General features: G+C 41.8%; 1 protein-coding gene and 1 long non-coding RNA gene across 31 annotated transcripts in view, besides 2 other annotated features; both read left to right on the forward strand.

Annotated features, from left to right (window-relative positions):
* Nucleotides 1–22,006, forward strand: part of TSNAX-DISC1 (TSNAX-DISC1 readthrough (NMD candidate)) — a 512,620-nt gene that overhangs the window by 111,349 nt on the left and 379,265 nt on the right. The window lies entirely within an intron of this gene.
* Nucleotides 1–22,006, forward strand: part of DISC1 (DISC1 scaffold protein) — a 414,483-nt gene that overhangs the window by 13,212 nt on the left and 379,265 nt on the right. The window lies entirely within an intron of this gene.
* Nucleotides 11,307–11,807: an enhancer, noted in NCBI's record as "H3K4me1 hESC enhancer chr1:231787054-231787554 (GRCh37/hg19 assembly coordinates)". NCBI's record gives its function as "activates a minimal SCP1, AML or CMV promoter by ChIP-STARR-seq in naive H9 embryonic stem cells {active_cell/tissue: H9 hESC(naive)}" and the evidence as "EXISTENCE:reporter gene assay evidence [ECO:0000049][PMID:30033119]".
* Nucleotides 11,808–12,308: an enhancer, noted in NCBI's record as "H3K4me1 hESC enhancer chr1:231787555-231788055 (GRCh37/hg19 assembly coordinates)". NCBI's record gives its function as "activates a minimal SCP1, AML or CMV promoter by ChIP-STARR-seq in naive H9 embryonic stem cells {active_cell/tissue: H9 hESC(naive)}" and the evidence as "EXISTENCE:reporter gene assay evidence [ECO:0000049][PMID:30033119]".

Below are 22,006 nucleotides of genomic sequence, written 5' to 3' on the forward strand. Positions count from 1 at the left end.
GATAAATGAAGACTCTAAATTGCTTCACATCTGTGCACATGAGGTTCTGCCACCATGTGAGTTCAGTCAGGTCAGATTACTGCCAGATGAATTAGAGAAGGCTTGAGGTTCTCAGAGAATTTTGGATTTTGGAATTAGAGATGATGCATCATGGATTTGTGCTTAATAGCTGTTTTGCTACTTTCCCTCCCCTTCCCCTCTCTCCCTCCTCCTCCACTTCCAGTTCTTAGCCTCAGTTACTATTGTACTGCCTCCGTTTCTTGAGACAGGCTGCTGATATGCTGCCTTTGGTCTCTGAGCCACCAGGTATAGCGCTGCATAATGGAAGAACAGATGAACATAAGAGTGTCTTGGGGAAGATGAGCACAAGACATCATGGGGTTGTATTGTTACCCCCAGCTTCAGCACATTCCCGGAGTGTAAGTGCAGGCTGGCTTCTCCATAAAGCAACACAGCAGTATGCTCTGAGTGGGAGTACCTCCGAAACTCAGCTTCCAAAACTGTGGGCTCACCAGACCTCCTTGGTATTTTTTTTTTTTTTTTTTGAGACAAGGTCTCCCTCTGTTGCCCATGCTGGAGTGCAGTGGCATGATCACAGCTCACTGCAGCCTCTACTTGCTGGGCTCAAATGATCCTCCCATCTCTGCTCTGCAAGTAGCTGGGACTATAGGAGTGTGTCACAATGCCTGGCTATTTTTATTTTTATTTATTTTTTGTAGAGACAGGATCTCCCTATGTTACCCGGGCTGGTCTCAAACTGCTGGGCTCAAGAAAACCTCCTGCCTCTGTCTCCCAAAGGGCTGGGATTATAGGCATGAGCCACCACGCTGTGCCCCTCCCTGGTTTTTGATCCTTGGTCTGACCCCTGGATTCTCCTGGTTGACTTACACTCTTTGGAGTGCTGACTAGTATAGACTCTCCCAATGCTGCCTTTTGGATGAATCCTGTGATGCCACATTTTCCAGCCTTAGGACAAATGATAACCTACCCTGTAGTCTGTCCATGCTCTGGAGACCCTGCTGGTCTTACAAGATGAACTGGACAACTGCTTTCACTGATAGGCCTGAAGGAAAAGGGTTGGAACTGTCAAGGTTCCCCATTAAATACCAACCAGCAATGACAATCAAGGTGAGCTATTCTTGTGCTGGGTAGGATGCTATCTTGGGCTCTGAGTGTGTCCGGAATTGGTGGGTTCTTGGTCTCACTGACTTCAAAAATGAAGCCGCGGACCCTCGCGGTGAGTGTTACAGTTCTTAAAGGCGGCGTGTCTGGAGTTTGTTCCTTCTGATGTTCGGATGTGTTCGGAGTTTCTTCTTTCTAGTGGGTTCGTGGTCTCGCTGGCTCAAGAGTGAAGCTGCGGACCTTCGCGGTGAGTGTTACAGCTCTTAAGGCGGCGCGTCTGGAGTCGTTCGTTCCTCCTTGTAGGTTCGTGGTCTCGTTGGCTTCAGGAGTGAAGCTGCAGACCTTCGTGGTGACTGTTACAGCTCATAAAGGCAGTGTGGACCCAAAGAGTGAGCAGCAGCAAGGTTTGTTGCAAACAGCGAAAGAACAAAGCTTCCACAATGTGCAAAGGGACCGGAGAGGGTTGCCGCTGCTGGCGCCTGCAGCCTGCTTTTATTCTCTTATCTGGCCCCACCCACATCCTGCTGATTGGTACAGCCCAGTCGTCTGTTTTGACAGGGCGCTGATTGGTACGTTTACAATCCCTGAGCTAGACACAAATGTTCGCCACCTCCCCACCAGATTAGCTAGATACAGAGTGTCCATTGGTGCATTCACAAACCCTGAGTTAGACACAGGGTGCTGACTGGTGTTTTTACAATCCCTGAGCTAGACATAAAGGTTCTCCAAGGCCCCACCAGACTCAGGAGCCCAGCTGGCTTCACCCAGTGGATCCCGCACCGGGGCTACAGGTGGAGCTGCCTGCCAGTCCCCTGCCGTGTGCCTGCACTCCTCAGGCCTTGGGTGGTCGATGGGACTGGGCGCTGTGGAGCAGGGGGCGGCGCTTGTCGGGGAGGCTCGGGCTGCACAGGAGCCCACGAAGGGCGGGGAGGCTCAGGCATGGCGGGCTGCAGGTCCCCAGCCCTGCCCCGCGGGAAGGCAGCCAAGGCCTTGCGAGAAATTGAACACAGCAGCTGCTGGCCCAGGTGCTAAGCCCTTCACTGCCCGGGGCCGGCGGGGCCGGCCGGCCACTCCGAGTGCGGACCCGCGGAGCCCATGCTCACCCGGAACTCGCGCTGGCCCGCAAGCACCGCGCGCAGCCCCCGGTTCCCGCCCGCGCCTCTCCCTCCACACCTGCCTGCAAGCTGAGGGAGCCGGCTCCGGCCTTGGCCAACCCAGAAAGGGGCTCCCACAGTGCAGCGGCGGGCGGAAGGGCTCCTCAAGTGCCGCCAAAGTGGGAGCCCAGGCAGAGGAGGTGCCGAGAGCGAGCGCGGGCTGCGAGGACTGCCAGCACGCTGTCACCTCTCGTGAGTATCTCTAGTGCTGCTGGCGATGAGATGATTCAGTGTGGATGATTGATACCAAATGTATCATGGACAGTGAAGGCTGTGTAACAACACATATAGGTAGGCTCTGTTACAGGAGTTACAGTTCTAGGCCCAGTAAATCTTTTTTTTTTCACTGTGCAATTGAATTTTGGTTTTACCTATATAACATTTTCATCTGTATGAAATGTAAGCTCTATACAATTCTCCATTAGGACATTGTGTGGATTTTGGTGTTTCTGAATCTCTTCTGGCTCAGAAAATTCCCTGCTCTTGCTGGTATAATTTCATACCCAAAGAGGGCATTCTAACCTTGAAAGAAGTTCAGCTCAGCAGAGCGTCTGTCATTGCCTTTCTCTGTAAACACAGTTTTCCTTCTTCCTTGGCTTCTCAGGTGTTTTAGCTCCAGGGAGGAAATAGTCACAGTGAAAATCTATTTAATAAAACCGTTATGAAAATGTACTCAACCTGAGCATGCACTGGAACAGCAGAAGATGAGGACTTGGTCTACTGCCTTCCCACCAAACCTTGCCGGCTCTGTAAATTTTCAGAGCTGTCACTTGTGAGCTATTTCCACCAAGGGAGAGCTTCTGTAAAGTTGGGGACTTGGCAGGCCATTTCGCTAATTCTTTGGGTGTTCTTTTAGCATTGTCTGCAGTGAGTGTGGGAGTCAAAGGCCCTTCAGTGCAGAGATAATGCCATCTTGTTCCCTGGAACCCCGAAAGAGCCAGAGTCAAAGGAGCTTTTTGTTTCACTCATAGAAAAACCCACAGGAAATCCCAGCTTCAGATATTCCTATTCAGTTTCCTTGTCCCTTCAGATCTCACTGTGTTTAGGCCTCCTTTGAGTGAGGCAATAACTAGTAAAAAAAAATAAAATAAAATAAATGAAAGAATGCCATTCATGGTGGCTTGGGGACTGGGCACACACACTGTATACACGGTGTGGGGGCCTTCCCCGGGACGCTGATGTCCTTGTTCTCCTAGCAGTCAAAAATTGGCCAGTGAAATACAGAGAATACTAGCTACCTCATACTGTTAAGAGAATTGACTGCGGTCAGATGTGTAGAGTTTCAAGTACATACAGTTTCTGCCTCACTGTAGGCGCTCAATATTATTATTGAGGAGCTATTATTAGATTTCACATCTCTGCCAGCTCTTGTGTCACTTATTAAGCATATGACTGGGAATAAGCTATTTAATTCTCTTCGTCTGTAAGATAGGAAGTAATAATGCTTATTTTGTGGGCCTATTGTGAGGATCATGTAAGATGAGAGATAAAAGGGCTTAGCAAACGGTAGCATATTACAGGTGGCCTGCAGCCTGCCGCTGTGCAGGTGACGTCCCACACAATGGTACTGGCCGAGGGGTGAATGGAGCCCTGGTGCTGAGGATGGCGAGCCTTTTTCTAATTCATCAGCTCAGAGGTGCCACCTTTTTCTAATTTACCCTCCCTAAGAGGACATCTTTTTATATTTTACCAGCCCACAGAAGATACCTTTTAAAAATTTGCACAATGGTACCATATGTGCTAGCTGCAATTCTGTCAACAAGAGAAAGATGTTATTTTTAGTGTAGCAGACAGAGAATTCTGGAGAGGGCACATGGCATGCTTTATCTGGCTCCAACTTGGTCATTTCTGTTTAATTTCAATGATCTGATTGCCATAGAGTCAGAGGAGCAATTTTGCTATTGCCCAAATTCTACATTTTCACTAGGATTTTCCTTGAAGGCAAGGACTATAACCCCCACCCTGCCCATCACCTTGCTTGCTCACCACTGCCCTGTACATATCCTTCAGAATGGACATTTGTTAACAATGGGTAAGAGTGTAGGCTGGCCTTTCACTTACCTTCCTGTGCTTTGCTCTTTACTGCTAGGGCTAGCAGCCGGAAAGCTACATATCCCAGGCTTTCTCGCCAGCTCATTTGCTGTTAAATTCTGTTAATAGGAGGCACTGGTGGGAGACCAGTAAGACGGAGAGAAAAACTTCCTGATTCTGGGTTTTACTGTGAGGCCATTGCAAGCAGTTGCTGTAGTGATAGTAAGGAAGGGGTGAGTTGGAACATCAGCAACCCTGCAGGTAACCCCCTTATTGGGGCTCCAATCTTAGTTGATGTAGCACTTCCTTGGTGGCTTCAGAGCCAAATGGCACAACCTCCTCAACAGTACAGCAGATTGAGAAGGCTGAGGGACATCGTTTAGGAGCATTAATGATGGGTGTCTAGCTATGACCCCCTTTTCCTTTTCACTTCTGTCCTCTCCTTCTCCTTTGTTCTCTTCTAGTTCTTTCTATATCTTTGTAACAAATTCCCTATATTAAATTTCTTCTGCTTGAGATACTTGAAGTGGTCTTAGTTTCCCTGCATTTAGCACGTGGACTCTCTGAATCTGTTGGGTGCTTAGGGCCTGGGTTTGTGCCCTAGGATCCTGTGACTGAATTCTTCCTTTCTCTTTCCATCCTCATCATGCATGCAGGATTGTCGCAGTAGCCTTTAAATAGATTTTCAGCCACCAGCCTCTTTCTGTTCACTGTGGACATTATTGGTAGTTTAATTTTTCTAAAAATCTATTTTCTGGATCCACATTTCTGCTCAAAACTCTATTTTTATGATAACTATTTAAGCATAGGTATAGTCATCTATGACCTAAACCCCAAAGGCAGGATCGTCACCATGGCCACCTTTTCTGTGATCCTAATAACAGAGAGATCTGTGTCAGAAGAGGATTGGTTGTTCTTTCACCCTGGCTAACTGGAAGGCAGGGAGCTCAGTGGTAGACACACCGGTCATCATGCTGGTGTGGGAAAGATTTCAAAGCCTGGCCATAGCTCCCACTGAAGCTCCTTTCTGCACCTTACTGCTTCCTTGTACAAGTCAAACCAGGGCCTTTAGAGCAGGGACCTTCATTGCACTGCCCTCTCCTCGCCTCCCAAATGATAATATCCAGCTTTCAAGGTCTGCCTGATGTCCCAGGGTTAGGAGGGCAGAGACCAGGCAGTTTATGTCATGTCACTTCTTTTTTTTTTTTGTCTTTTAAAAAATTTATTATACTTTAAGGTCTGGGGTACATGTGCACAACATGCAGGTTTGTTACATAGGTATACATGTGCTATGTTGGTTTGCTGCACCCACTAACTTGTCATTTACATTAGGTATTTCTCCTAATGCTATCCCTCCCCGCACCCCACGACAGGCCCCAGTGTGCGATGTTCCCTGTCCTGTGTCCAAGTGTTCTCATTGCTCAATTCCCACCTATGAGTGAGAACATGCACTGTTCGGTTTTCTGTCCTTGCGATAGTTTGCTGAGAATGATGGTTTCCAGCTTCATCCATGTCCTTGCAAAGGACATGAACTCATCCTTTTTTATGGCTGCGTAGTATTCCATGGTGTATATGTGCCACATTTTCTTTTCTTTTTTTTTTTTTAGAGATAACAATACTCACTTTCAACAATTTCTAGAACTACAGAGAAGAAAAACAAGGAAATAGAAGATTTGAGCAACACAATTAACTAGACCTAACACACATCTACAGAACAGTCTATCCAACAATAGCAGAATATGTACTTTTCTTTTTTTTTTTTTACAATAACAGTGTTATCATTTATTATTTTGATTAACTCGTCATTTAGCATTAGGTATATCTCCTAATGCTATCCCTCCCCACTCCCCCCATGCCACAACAGTCCCTGGTGTGTGATGCTCCCCTTCCTGTGTCCATGTGTTCTCATTGTTCAATTCCCACCTATGAGTGAGAACATGCGGTGTTTGATTTTTTGTCCTTGCGATAGTTTGCTGAGAATGATGGTTTCCAGCTTCATCCATGTCCCTACAAAGGACATGAACTCATCCTTTTTTATGGCTGCATAGTATTCCATGGTGTATATGTGCCACATTTTCTTAATCCAGTCTATCATTGACGGACATTTGGGTTGGTTCCAAGTTTTTGCTATTGTGAATAGTGCTGCATATAAACATAAGCGTGCATGTGTCTTTCTAGTAGCATGATTTATAATCCTTTGGGTATATAAATAGCAATTTTGCTATTGCCCCAATTCTAAATTTTTGGGGCAATTTAGATCGCTGGGTCAAATGGGATCACTGGGCCAAATGGTATTTCTAGTTCTAGATCCTTGATGAATCGCCGCACTGTCTTCCACAATGGTTGAACTAGTTTACACTCCCACCAACAGTGTAAAAGCATTCCTGTTTCTCCATATCCTCTCCAGCATCTGTTGTTTCCTGACTTTTTAATGATCACCATTCTAACTGATGTGATATGGTATCTCATTGTGGTTTTGATTTGCATTTCTCTGATGACCAGTGATGATGAGCATTTTTTCATGTGTCTGTTGGCTGCATAAATGTCTTCTTTTGAGAAGTTTCTGTTCATATCCTTTGCCCACTTTTTGATGGGCTTGTTTATTTGTTTTTTCTTGTACATTTGTTTAAGTTCTTTGTAGATTCTGGATATTAGCCCTTTGTCAGATGGGTAGATTGCAAAAATTTTCTCCCATTCTATAGGTTGCCTGTTCACTCTGATGGTAGTTTCTGTTGCTGTGCAGAAGCTCTTTAGTTTAATTAGATCCCATTTGTCTATTTTGGCTTGTGTTGCCATTGCTTTTGGTGTTTCAGTTATTAAGTCCTTGCCCATGCCTATGTCCTGAAAGGTATTGCCTAGGTTTTCTTCTAGGGTTTTTATGGTTTTAGGTCTAACATTTAAGTCTTTAATTCATCTTGAATTAATTTTTGTATAAGGTGTAAGGAGGGGATCCAGTTTCAGCTTTCTACATATGGCTAGCCAGTTTTCTCAGCACCATTTATTAAATAGGGAATCCTTTCCCCATTTCTTGTTTTTGTCAGCTTTGTCAAAGATCAGATGGTTGTAGATGTGTGGTGTTATTTCTGAGGGCTCTGTTCTGTTCCATTGGTCTATCTCTCTGTTTTGGTACCAGCACCATGCTGTTTTGGTTACTGTAGCCTTGTAGTATAGTTTGAAGTAGTGTGTTGCCTCCAGCTTTGTTCTTCTTGCTTAGGATTGTTTTGGCAATGCAGGCTCTTTTTTGGTTCCATATGAACTTTAAAGTAGTTTTTTCCAATTCTGTGAAGAAAGTCATTGGTAGCTTGATGGGGATGGCATTGAATCTATAAATTACCTTGGGCAGTATGGCCATTTTCACGATATTGATTCTTCCTATCCATGAGCATGGAATGTTCTTCCATTTGTTTGTGTCCTCTTTTATTTCGTTGAGCAGTAGTTTGTAGTTCTCCTTGAAGAGGTTCTTTACATCCCTTGTAAGTTGGATTCCTCGGTGTTTTATTCTCTTTGTAGCAATTGTGAATGGGAGTTTGCTCATGATTTGGGTCTCTGTTTGTCTGTTATTGGTGTATAGGAATGCCTGTGATTTTTGCACATTGATTTTGTATCCTGAGACATTACTGAAGTTGCTTATCTGCTTAAGGAGATTTTGGGCTGAGATGATGGGGTTTTCTAAATATACAATCATATCATCTGCCAACAGGGACAATTTAACTTCCTCTTTTCCTAATGGAATACTCTTTATTTCTTTCTCTTGTCTGATGGCCCTGGCCAGAACTTCCAACACTATGTTGAATAGGAGTGCTGAGAGAGGGCATCCCTGTCTTATGCCAGTTTTCAAAGGTAATGCTTCCAGTTTTTGCTCATTCAGTGTGATATTGGCTATGGGTTTGTCATAAATAGCTCTTATTATTTTGAGATACATTCCATCAATACCTAGTTTATTGAGTTTTTAGCATGAAGTGCTGTTGAATTTTGTTGAAGGCCTTTTCTGCATCTGTTGAGATAATCATGTGTTTTTTTTCATTGGTTCTGTTTATGTGATGGATTACGTTTATTGACTTGCATATGTTGAACCAGCCTTGCATCCCAGGGATGAAGCTGACCTGATCATGGTGGATAAGCTTTTTGATGTGCTGCTGGATTCGGTTTGCCGGTATTTTATTCAGGATTTTTGCATCGACGTTCATCAGGGATATTGGTCTAAAATTCTCTTTTTTGTTGTGTCTCTGCCAGGCTTTGGTATCAGGATGATGCTGGCCTCATAAAATGAGTTAGGGAGGATTCCCTCTTTTTCTATTGATTGGAATAGTTTCAGAAGGAATGGTACCAGCTCCTCTTTGTACTTCTGGTAGAATTCGGCTGTGAACCCATCTGGTCCTGGACTTTTTTTGGTTGGTAGGCTATTAATTATTGCCTCAATTTCAGATCCTGTTATTGGTCTATTCAGAGATTCAACTTCTTCCTGGTTTAGTCTTGGGAGGGTGTATGTGTCCAGGAATTTATCCATTTCTCCTCGATTTTTCTAGTTTATTTGTGTAGAGGTATTTATAGCATTCTCTGATAGTAGTTTGTATTTCTGTGGGATCAGTGGTGATATCCCCTTTATCATTTTTTATTGCGTCTGTTTTATTCTTCTCTCTTTTCTTCTTTATTAGTCTTGCTAGCGGTCTATCAATTTTGTTGATCTTTTCAAAAAACCAGCTCTTGGATTCATTGATTTTTTGAAGGGTTTTTTGTCTCTATCTCCTTCAGTTCTGCTCTGATCTTAGTTATTTCTTGCCTTCTACTAGCTTTTGAATGTGTTTGCTCTTGCTTCTCTAGTTCTTTTAATTGTGATGTTAGGATGTCAATTTTAGATCTTTCCTGCTTTCTCTTATGGACATTTAGTGCTGTAAATTTCCCTCTACACACTGCTTTAAATGTGTCCCAGAGATTCTGGTATGTTGTGTCTTTGTTCGCATTAGTTTCGAAGAACACCTTTATTTCTGCCTTCATTTTGTTATTTACCCAGTAGTCATTCAGGAGCAGGTTGTTCAGTTTCCATGTAGTTGTGCGGTTTTGAGTGAGTTTCTTAATCCTGAGTTCTAGTTTGATTGCACTGTGGTCTGAGAGACAGTTTGTTATGATTTCTGTTCTTTTACATTTTCTGAGGAGTGCTTTACTTCCAATTATGTGGTCAGTTTTGGAATAAGTGCAATGTGGTGCTGAGAAGAATGTATATTCTGTTGATTTGGGGTGGAGAGTTCTGTAGATGTCTATTAGGTCTGCTTGGTGCAGAGCTGAGTTGAAGTCCTGGATATCCTTTTAACCTTCTGTCTTGTTGATCTGTCTAATATTGACAGCGGGGTGTTAAAAGTCTCCCATTATTATTGTGTGGGAGTCTAAGTCTCTTTGCAGATCTCTAAAGACTTGCTTTATGAATCTGGGTGCTCCTGTGTTGGGTGCATATATATTTAGGATAGTTAGCTCTTCTTGTTGAATTGATCCCTTTGCCATTATGTAATGGCCTTCTTTGTCTCTTTTGATCTTTGCTGGTTTAAAGTCTGTTTTATCAGAGACCAGGATTGCAACCCCTGCTTTTTTCTTTTTTGCTTTCCATTTGCTTGGTAGATCTTCCTCCATCCCTTTATTTTGAGCCTATGTGTGTCTCTGCACGTGAGATTGGTCTCCTGAATACAGCACACTGATGGGTCTTGACTCTTTGTCCAATTTGCCAGTCTGTGTCTTTTAATTGGGGCATTTAGCCTATTTAGATTTAAGGTTAATATTGTTATGTGTGAATTTGATCCCATCATTATGATGTTAGCTGGTTATTTTACCTGTTAGTTGATGCAGTTTCTTCCTAGCATTGATGGTCTTTACAGTTTGGCATGTTTTTGCAGTGGCTGGTACCCGTTGTTCCTTTCCATGTTTAGTGCTTCCTTCAGGAGCTCTTGTAAGGCAGACCTAGTGGTAACAAAATCTCTGAGCATTTGCTTGTCTGTAAAGGATTCTATTTCTCCTTCACTTATGAAGCTTAGTTTGGCTGGATATGAAATTCTGGGCTGAAAATTCATTTCTTTAAGAATATTGAATATTGGCCCCCACTCTCTTCTGGCTTGTAGAGTTTCTGCTGAGATATCCACTGTTAGTCATCAGACTTCCCTTTGTGGGTAACCCGACCTTTCTCTCTGGCTGCACTTAACATTTTTTCCTTCATTTCAACCTTGGTGAATCTGACAATTATATGTCTTGGGGTTGCTCTTCTTGAGGAGTATCTTTGTGGTGTTCTCTGTATTTCCTGAATTTGAATGTTGGCCTGCCTTGCTAGGTTGGGGAAGTTCTCCTGGATAGTATCCTGCAGAGTGTTTTCCAACTTGGTTCCATTCTCCCCGTCACTTTCAGGTACACCAGTCAAACGTAGATTTGGTCTTTTCACATAGTCTCATATTTCTTGGAGGCTTTATTTGTTTCTTTTTACTCTTTTTTCTCTAAACTTCTCTTCTCGCCTTATTTCATTAATTTGATCTTCAGTCGCTGATACCCTTTCTTCCACTTGGTCAAATCAGCTATTGAAGCTTGTGCATGCGTCATGTAGTTCTTGTGCCATGGTTTTCAGCTTCATCAGTTCATTTATGGTCTTCTCTACACTGTTTATTCTAGTTAGCCATTTGTCTAATTTTTTTTCAAGGGTTTTAGCTTCCTAGCAATGGGTTCAAATGTCCTCCTTTAGCTCGGAGAAGTTTGTTATTACTGACCTTCTGAAGTCTACTTGTGTCAGCTCGTCAAAGTCATTCTCTGTCCAGCTTTGTTCTGTTGCTGGCGAGGAGCTGTGATCCTTTGGAGGAGAAGAGGTGCTCTGGTTTTTAGGATTTTCAGCTTTTCTGCTCTGGTTTCTCCCCATCTTTGTGGTTTTATCTACCTTTGGTCTTTGAAGATGGTGACCTACAGATGGGGTTTTGGTGTGGATGTCCTTTTTGTTGATGTTGATGCTATTCCTTTCTGTTTGTTAGTTTTCCTTCTAACAATCAGGTCTCTCAGCTGCAGGTCTGTTGGAGTTTGCTGGAGGTCCACTCCAGACCCTGTTTGCCTGGGTATCACCAGTGGAGGCTGCAGAACAGCAAATATTGCAGAACAGTAAATATTGCTGCCTGATCCTTCCTCTGGAGGCGTTGTCCCAGAGAGGTGCCCGCCTGTATGAGGTGTCAGTCGGCCCCTACTTGGAGGTGTCTCTCAGTTAGGCTACACAGGGGTCAGGGAGCCACTTGAGGAGGCAGTCTGTCTGTTCTCATAGCTCAAACACCATGCTGGGAGAACCACTGCTCTCTTCAGAGCTGTCAGATAGGGACGTTTAAGTCTGCAGAAGTTTCTGCTGCCTTTTGTTCAGCTATGCCCTGCCCCTAGAGCTGGGGTCTACAGAGGCAGCAGGCCTTGGAGAGCTGCGGTGGGCTCCGCCCAGTTCAAGCTTCTCCAGCCGCTTTGTTTACCTACTCAAGCCTCAGCAATGGCAGATGCCCCTCCCTCTGCCAGGCTGTTGCCTCGCAGGTCGATCTCAGACTGCTGAGCTAGCAGTGAGCAAGGCTCCATGGGTGTGGGACCTGCTGAGCCAGGCACAGGATGTAATCTCTTGGTGTGCTGTTTGCTAAGACCATTGGAAAAACGCAGTATTTGGGTGAGAGTGTCCTAATTTTCCAGGTACAGTCTGTCACAGCTTGCCTTGGCTAGGAAAGGGAAATCCCCTGACCCCTTGTGCTTCCTGGGTGAGATAATGCCCCGCCCTGCTTCGGCTCACCCTGTGTGGGCTGCACCCACTCTCCAACCAGTCCCAATGAGATAAACAGGTACCTCAGTTGGAAATGCAGAAATCACCATCTTCTGCATCGATCATGCTGGGAGCTGCAGACCAGAGCTGTTCCTATTTGGCCATCTTGGAACAGAATGCATCATGTCACTTCTTATACATGAATGAGAATAACTGTGAAATGTGCACATGTGCTCTGAGCCTAGATAAGATTGTTACTATCATGTTATATTGTTATTATTGTGTTATTATCGTTATTATCATGTTATTTTCTTACCCATAGGTTTTCCAACTTGCTTGAAGTAATGCTTTCAGGATACTCAATATTGAATATTCAATACTGATGGGAAAACTTTCTTAAAGGAAATGGACATTACAGGGTCAACTGGAGGAAAAATAACACATTTACTGCTCAAACATAGCTTGTTGTTTTTATATTTAAAAACATAGGCATTGTAAAAAGTCAAACAAGCCTGAAAAATGTATGGGAGAAGATGAAATGATCACTGAAGTCACATATTCCTCACTGTTAATGATTTAGGGAACATCCTTCTAGAAGGTTCACAGAGCCATACAACTTTACCGAAATGGGATTATGTTGCATCTTGTTTTCCAACCTAATTTTTTCCCACTTAGTAGTATAGCACAGATATGTTTTCATGTCAACCAGTATGACTTTACACTGTTATTTCTTTCTTCTTTTTTTTCTGAGATGGAGGCTCGCTCTGTCGCCCAGGCTGGAGTGCAGTGGCACGATTTTGGCTCACTGCAACCTCCACCTACCTGGTTCAAGCGATTGTTCTGTCTCAGCCTCCTGAGTAGCTAGGATTACAGGTGCCTGCCACCACACCTGGCTAATTTTTGTATTTTTAATAGAGACGGGGTTTCACCATGTTGGCCAGGCTGGTCTTGAACTCCTGACATCCGGTGATCTGCCCGCCTTGGCCTCCCAAAGGGAGGGATTACAGGTGTGAGCCACTGTGCCCGGCCTAATGGTTACACAGTATTCCATGCTGACACCATAATTTACTCATCCAGTTACATTAAATTGGAATGTTCATAGTTGTTGACCTTTAGAACATGCCAGTATTAAGTTTTTGTATTTAAGGTGATGCTAGTTCTAAAGCATATATTCTGAAATCTCAGTGGCTTAACACCTCAGAAGTTTATTTCTCCTTATGTAAAGTTTAGGTTCTCTCCATTTGCTGATGGTTACCTTGAGGTACCAGGCTTGCGTGGAGGGGCTGCTGTGCCTTGCATGGCCATGCAGGGACTCAGGCCCTCTCCAGCGTGTGGTTTGCAAGGTTGCCCTGGCCCTTGCTGCTTAGCTGGCTGATAGTGGAAGAGAAAGTGAAGAAGATGTCACAGGAGGTTTTAATGGATCAGAACTGGAAGTGGCAGATACTGCTTCTGCCCCCATTCCATTGGCCAGAATGTCACATGGCCATACAAAACTGCAAGGGAGGCTGGGAAATGCCACTCATCTGTGTGTGTGGGAGGAAAGGAAATACATTTGGTGAATACTAGCTAGTCTCTAACAGAGCTTCCCCTACTGTTTACCAAATTCCTGTTTTGCTTTTCCCCTCACACACAGAACACACCCCTCCCAGAGTGAGGGACCCTAAGTCCCATCCAGCCCTGGCACCTTGCTTAGTCACTGTTCAGGATCTCTGGGTGATGTGCTGTCTTCCCCATCACATCTAAATGAGGATCCTTGTGGTTTGATGACTTATGAACTAGAAGAGAATAAAGTTATTTGCCTCCTCCCTAGCGCCTCCCAATTTTCAATGAAGCAGGGAAGCATTGTAACATTAGAAGCTCCCATTTAGAACAGAGTAAAGAGCGGGCAGCACAGTCATCACAGGCCCAAAGCAACAATGGAATCCAGTTGGGTGGGCAAGGTGGAGGTTCTCAACCAGAGGGTGGGAGAACTTTCTTGATTAGACCTTGATTTTGCCAGAAAAGGCAATCTCTTCTCAGTTGGTCTCCATGGTCCGAGCTCTGTCCTGGCAAGTTCCTTCTTGCACTTTATTCTCAATGGCTACGTTTGAAGTGATTGCAGGGGAGTCCGCCATCTTAGGAGGGTACACAGCTTTGCAGCCCTCTAGTGCCCTGCTGTTGTTTCAAGGCTCAAATAGACAAACGTCTTTAAAAAATTTTATTTTTAGTCCAGGCTCATGGTTTCTTTGGCCATACATTTATGTCAAAAATTTGATAGGATTCTGTTTTTTTTTTAAATTAATTACTTTTATTTTTGACAAATAATTTACATATTTATGGGGTACAATGTGAAGCTTTCATATATTTATTCACTATGAAATGATTAAACCAAGCTAATTAACATATCCATCATTTCACGTGTGTGTGTGGTATGAAATTTTTGTGTGTGTGTGGTATGAAATTCTTAGCAATTTTGAAATATATTGCATTATTATTAACTATAGTCACCATGCTGTGGAATAAATCTTAAGAACTTATTCCTTCTGTCTAACTGAAGCTTTGTATACTTTGACTAACATCTTCCCATCCACTTCTACCCTTGCCCCAGCCCCTGCTAACCACCATTCTATTCTCTACTTCCGACTTTTTTTAGATTACACCTGTAACTGAGATCATGCAGTATTTTTCTTTCTGTGCTTGGATTACTTGTTTCTGTTCTGTTTTCTTCCCTTAAGTTTTTTATGCCAATAGCAAATCCCTAAGTTTTTTTCCTAGATATTATTACCAAGCTTGAATTATTATATTACTTTCTCACCCTAATACCCTTTTCTGTCAATGAGATGGTGACTTCCTTGAGGCCTTCAGGGTCAGATGGGAAGGCAAAATTCTTAATTAGCTCTTTGCTACAAGGCTGAATCTTTTACCTGTGTCACTCAAAAGCCTTTTCAATCTTGTTTCTTACTCCTCAGACTTTAGAAGCAGTCATTTCTTCCAAGGCTTTACACTCAGAAGTTTCTGGACAAACATCTGGACTCTATTCCCTTTCATTTTATGCTTGCAAACCAACAAATTCTTTTTTTAAAAAAGTATTTTAATAGCTTTAGGAGTACAAGTGGTTTTTGCTTACATGGATGAATGGTATAGTCCTGAAGTCTGAAATTTTAGTGTACCCAAGTTGCGTACATTGTGCCCAATATGTAACTTTTAAAGTCGCCCCTCCCACACTCCCCTATTCTGAGTCTCTAAAGTCCATTATATCACTTTGTGTGCCTTTGTGTATCCATAGCTTAGCTCCCATTTACCAATGAGAAAGTACAGTGTTTGGTTTTCCACTCCTGAGTTAGTTCACTTAGAATAATGGCATTCAGTTCCATCTGAGTTGCTGTAAAATACATTATTTCATTCTTTTTTATGGCTAACTAGTATTCCATGGTGTATATATACCACATTTTCTTCATCCACTCATTGATTGATGGGCACTTAGGTTGGTTCCATAGCTTTGCAATTGTGAATTGTGCTGTGATAATCATATGCATGCAGGTGTCTTTTTGATGTAATGACTTCTTTTCCTTTGGGTACCTAGTCCAGTAGTGGGATTGCTGGATTGAATGGTAGATCTACTTTTAGTTCTTTGAGAAATCTCCATACTGTTTTCCATAGAGGTTATACTGATTTATGTTACCACCAGAAGTATATAAGCTTTTCCTTTTCACCATATCCATGCCAACATCTCTTGTTTTTTGACTTTTTAATAAAGGGCCATTCTGTTTGGGATAAGGTGGTTTCTCATTGTGGTTTTAATTTGCATTCCCTGATGATTAGTGATGGTGAGCAGTTTTTCGTATGTTTCTTGGCCATTTGTATATGTTATTTTGAGAAATGTATATTCATGTCATTTGCCCACTTTTTAAAGGGATTTTTTCCCCTTGCTGATTTGTTTGAGTTCTTTGTAGATTCTGGGTATTAGTCTGTTGTCGGATGCATAGTTTGCAAATATTTTCTCCCATTCTGTGAGTTGTGTGTTTACTCTAATGATTATTTCTTTTGCTGTGTGGAGCATTTTAGTTTAAGTCTTATTTATTTATCTTTGTGTTGGTTGTTTTTGGGGTCTTAGTTATAAATTCTTTGCCTAGGCTACTATCCAAAATAATTTTTCCTAGGTTTTGTTCTAGAATTTTTATGGTTTCAAGTCTTAGATTTAAGTCTGTAATCCATCTTGAGTTGATTTTTGTGTATAGTGAGAGATAGAGATCCAGTTTCATTCTTCTACATGTTGCTATTTAGTTTTCCCAGCACCATTTATTGAATAGCATGTCCTTTCTTCAATTTATGTTTGTATATGCTTTGTTGACGATCAGTTGGTTGTAACTATTTGGCTTTATTTCTGGGTTCTCTATTCTATTCTATTTGTCTATGTATCTACTTTTATACCAATACCATGCTATTCTGATTACAATAGCCTTGCAGTATAATTTGGAGTCAGTTATTGTGATGCATCCAGATTTGTTCTTTTTGCTCAGGATTACTTTGGCTGTCTGTGCTCTTTTTTTGGTTCTATATGAATTTTAGGATTGTTCGTTCTTTCTTTTTCTTTTCTTCAACTTTTATTTTAAGTTCATGGGTACATGTGGAGGATGTGCAGGTTTGTTACACAAGTAAACGTGTGCCATGGTGGTTTGCTGCACAGATCATCCTATCAACTAGGTATTAAGCCCAGCATCAATTAGCTATTCTTCCTGATGCTCTCCCTCCCACCCACTGCCCACTGATAGTTCCCAGTGTGTGCTGTTCCCCTCTATGTGTCCATGTATTTTCATCATTTAGTTCCCACTTATAGATGAGAGCATGCATTCTTTGGTTTTCTGTTCCTGTGTTAGTTTCTGGAGGATAATGGCTTCCAACTCCGACTCCATCCATATCCCTGCAAAGGACATGATCTTGTTCCTTTTTATGGCTGCATAGTATTCCATAGTGTATATGCACCACATTTATTTATCCAGTCCATCATTGATGGGCATTTAGATTGATTTTATATCTTTGGTATTGTGAAAAATGCTGCAATGAACATACACATGCATGTATCTTTATAACACAATGATTTATATTTTTTGGGGTGTATACCCCGTAATGGGATTGATGAGTCAAATGGTACGCCTCTAGGTCTTTGAGGAATCACTACACTGTCTTCCACAATGGTTGAACTAATTTACACTCCCACCAACAATGTAAAAGCATTTCTTTTTCTCCACAACCTCACCAGCATCTGTTGTTTTTTGACATCTTAGTAACAGCCATTCTGACTGGTGTTAGATCGTATCTTATTGTGGTTTTTATTTGCATTTCTCTAATGATCAGTTATGTTGAGCGTTTTGTCATGTTTGTTGGCTGGATGTATGTCTTCTTTTGAAAAGTGTCTGATGATAGTTTCTTTTGCTGTGCAGAAGCTCTTTAGTTTAATTAGATACCATTTGTAGGTTTTTGCTTTTGTTGCAGTTGCTTTGGTGTTTTCATCATGAAATCTTTGTCCATGCCTATGTCCTGAATGGTATTGCCTTGGTTGTCTTGCAGCATTTTTATAGTTTTGGGTTTTACACTTAAGTCTTTAATCCATCTTGAATTGATTTTTGCTTAAGGTGTAAGGGATGGGTCCAGTTTCAATTTTCTGCATATGGCTAGCCAGCTCTCTCAGCACCATTTATTAAATATGGAGTCCTTTCCCCATTGCTTGTTTTTGTCTAGTTTGTTGAAGATCAGATGGTTGTAGGTGTTGGGTCTTATTTCTGAGTTCTGTATTCTGTTCCATTGGTCTATGTGTCTGTTCCTGTACCAATACCCTGCTGTTTTGGTTACTGTAGCCTTGCAGTATAGTTTGAAGTTGGGTAGCCATGATGCCTCCAGCTTTGTTCTTTTTGATTATGATTGTCTTGGCCATTTGGGATTTGTTGGTTCCACATGAATTTTAAAATAGTTTTTTCTAATTCTGTGAAGAATGTCAATGGTAGTTTAATGGGAATAGCATTGAATCTATAAATTGCTTTGGGCAGTATGGCTATTTTCATGATATTGATTCTTCCTGTTCATGAGCATGGAATGTTTCTCCATTTGTTTGTGTCCTGTACGATTTCTTTGAGCAATGGTTTGTAGTTCTCCTTGAAGAGGTCCTTCACTTCCCTTGTTAGCTGTATTCCTAGTTATTTTATTCTTTTTGTAGTAATTGTGAATGGGAGTTCATTTATGATTTGGCTCTTTGATTGCCTGTTGTTGGTGTGTAGGAATGCTAGCAATTTTTGCACATTGATTTTGTATCCTGAGACTGCTGAAGTTGCTTATCAGCTTAAAAAGCTTTTGGGCTGAGATGATGGGGTTTTCTAGATATAGGATCATGTCATCTGCAAACAAAGATAATTTGACTTCCTCTCTTCCTATTTGAACACCCTTTATTTTGTTCTCTTATCTGATTGCCCTGGCCAGAACTTCCAATACTATGTTGAATAGGAGTGGCGAGAGAGGACATCTTGTTTTGGGCTGTTTTTCAAGGGGAATGCTTCCAGCTTTTGCCCAGTCAGTATGATATTGGCTGTGGGTTTGTCATATATGGCTCTTATTATTTTGAGGTATGTTCCTTCAATACCTAGTTTATTGAGAATTTTTAACATGAAGGGATGCCAGATTTTATCGAAGGCCTTTTCTGCATATATTGAGATAATCATGTGGTTTTTGTCTTTAGTTCTGTTTATGTGATGAATCACATTTATTGATTTGCATATGTTGAACCAACTTTGTATCCTGGAGATGAAGCCAACTTGATTCTAGTGGATAAGCTTTTTGATGTGCTGCTGCATTCAGTTTGTCAGTATTTTATTGAAGGTTTTTGCATTGATGTTCATTAAGGATATCGGCCTGAGGTTTTCTTTTTTTTTGTTGTATCTCTGCCAGGTTTTGGTATCAGGATGATGCTGGCCTCATAGAATAAATTGGGGATGAGTCCCTCCTTTTCAATTTTTTGGAATAATTTCAGTCAAAATGATACCCCTTTTTCTTTGTACCTCTGGTAGAATTCAGCTGTGAATCTGTCTGTTCCTGGGCTTTTTTTGGTTGGTAAGCTATTTATTACTGTCTCAATTTCAGAACTCATTATTGGTCTATTCAGAGATTCAATTTCTTCCTGGTTCAGTCTTGGGAGGGTGTATGTGTCTAGGAATTTATCCATTTCTTCTAGATTTTTTAGTCTATGTGCATAGAGGTGTTTACAGTATTTTCTGATGGTTGTTTGTATTTCTGTGGGGTTAGTGGTGATATCTCCCTTAACATTTTCTATTGTATCTATTTGATTCTTCTCTCTTTTCCTCTTTGTTAGTCTAGCAAGTGATCTATTTTATTATTTTTTTCAAAAAACCAGTTTCTGGATTTGTTGATTTTTTTGAAGGGTTTTTTGTGTCTCTGTCTTCTTCACTTATTATGCCCTCATCCTGGTTATTTCTTGTCTTCTAGCTTTGGAGTTTGTTTGCTCTTGGTTCTCTAGTTCTTTAGTTGAGATGTTAGGTTGTTAACTTGAGATCTTTCTAGCTTTTGATGTGGGCATTTAATGCTCTAAATTTCCCTCTTAACACCACTTTACCTGTGTCCCAGAGATTCTAGGACATTGTCTCTTTGTTCTCATTAGTTTCAAAGTACTTATTGATTTCTGCCTTAATTTCATTATTTACCCAAGAGTCATTCAGGAGCAGGTTGTTCAGTTTCCATGTAGTTGTGTGGTTTTGAGTGAATTTCTTAATCTTGAGTTCTAATTTGATGGTGCTGTGGTCTGAGAGACTGTTATGATTTCAGCTCTTTTGCATTTGCTGAGGAGTGTTTTATTTCCAATTATGTGATCAGTTTTAGAGTAAGTGCCATATGTCAATGAGGAGAATGTATATTCTGCTGTTTTGTGGTGGAGAATTCTGTAGATATCTATCAGATCCACTTGATCCAGGGCTGAGTTCAGGTCCTTACTATCTTTATTAATTTTCTGTCTTGATTTGTCTAATATTGTCAGTGGGTTGTTAAAGTCTCCCACTATTATTGTGTGGGAGTCTAAGTAGTCTAAGTGTGTCATTCTTGAAGAACTTGCTTTATGAATCTGGGTGCTCCTATATTGGATGCATATATATTTAGGATAGTTAGCTCTTGTTGAATTGAACTCTTTACCATTATTAATGCCCTTCTTTATATTTTTTGATCTTTGTTGGCTTAAAGTCTTGTTTTGTCAGAAATTAGGATTGCAACCCCTACTTTTTTCTGTTTTCCATTTGCTTGGTAAATTTTCCTTCATCCTTTTATTTTGAACCTGTGTATGTCTTGCATGTGAGATGGGTCTCTTGAAGACAGCACACCAGTGGGTCTTGGCTCTGTCCAGCTTGCCATTCTGTGTCTTTTAATTGGGGCATTTAGCCCAAAAAAAAAATATATATATTTTATATTTTTTGAGATGGAATTTCACTCTGTGTCACCCAGGCTGGAGTGCAATGGTGCAGTCCCAGCTCACGGCAACCTCTGCCTCCCGGGTGAAGCGATTCTCCTGCCTCAGCCTCCCGAGTAGCTGGGATTACAGGCACCTGCCATCTTTTAGTAGAGATGGGGTTTCACCATGTTGGCCAGGCTGGTCTCGAACTCTTGACCTCAGGTGATTTGCCTGCCTCAGGCTTCCAAAGTGCTGGGATTACAGGTGTGAGCCACTGTGCCTGGCCTAGCCCATTTATATTTAAGGTTAGTATTATTATATGTGAATTTGATCCTGTCATCATGATGCTAGCTGGTTATTTTGCAGACTTGTTTATGTAGTTGCTTCATAGTGTCACTGGTCTGTGTAGTTCAGTGTGTTTTTGTAGTGGCTGGTAACAGTTTTTCGTTTCCATATTTAGTGCTTCCTGGTGGTGATGAATTCTCTCAGCCTTTGCTTGTCTGAAAAGGATCTTATTTCTCCTTCATTTATGAACCTTAGTTTGGTCAGATATGAAATCTTGGGTTGGAAATTCTTTTCTTTAAGACTGTAGAATATTGGCCCACAATCTCTTCTGGCTTGTAGGGTTTCCATTGAGAGGTCCTCAGTTAGTCTGATTGGCTTCCCGTTGTAGGTGACCTGGCCTTTCTTTCTGGCTGCCCTTCACTTTTTTTTTTTCATTTCGACCTGGAGAATCTGATGATTATGTGTCTGGGGGTTGATCTTCTCATGGAGGATCCTACTGGGGTTCTCTGCACTTCCTGAATTGAATATTGGCCTATCTTGCCAGGTTGGGTGAGTTCTCTTGAATGATATCCTGAAGTGTGATTTCCAACTTGGTTCCATTCTCCCTGTCCCTTTCAGGTATCCCAATCAGTTGGAGGTTTGGTCTCTTCATAGAATCCCATATTTCTTGGAGGTTTTGTTCATTCCTTTTCATTCTTTTTTCTCTATTCTTGTCTGCCTGTCTTATTTCAGAAAGATAGTCTTTAAGCTCTGAAATTCTTTCCTCCACTTGGTCTATTCTGCTATTGATACTTGTGATTGCATTGTGAGGTTCTCGTGTTGTGTGTTTTCAGCTCCATGAGCTTGGTTATGTTCCTCTCTAAACTGGCTATTCTGGCTATCAGCTTCTGTATTGTTTTATCATGATTCTTAGCTTCTTTGCATTGGGTTACAACATGCTCCTTTTACTCAGTGAAGTTTGTTATTACCCACCTTCTGAAGTCTACTTCTGTCAGTTCAGTCATCTCAGCCTCAGCCCAGTTCTGTTCCCTTGCTGGAGAGGTGTTACTGTCATTTGGAGGAGAAGAGCCACTCTGGCTTTTTGAGTTTTCAGCACTGATTCTTTGCTTATCTTTGTGGGCTTATCTACCTTCAATCTTTGAGGTTGCTGGCCTTTCAATAGGGTTTTGTGGGATTCTTTTTGTTGATCTTTTTGTTGTTGTTGTTTTCTGTTTGTTTTTCTTTTCATAGTCAGGCCACTCTACCGTAGGGCTG

Source organism: Homo sapiens, chromosome 1, assembly GCF_000001405.40.
Source record: "Homo sapiens chromosome 1, GRCh38.p14 Primary Assembly".
Taxonomy (NCBI): domain Eukaryota; kingdom Metazoa; phylum Chordata; class Mammalia; order Primates; family Hominidae; genus Homo; species Homo sapiens.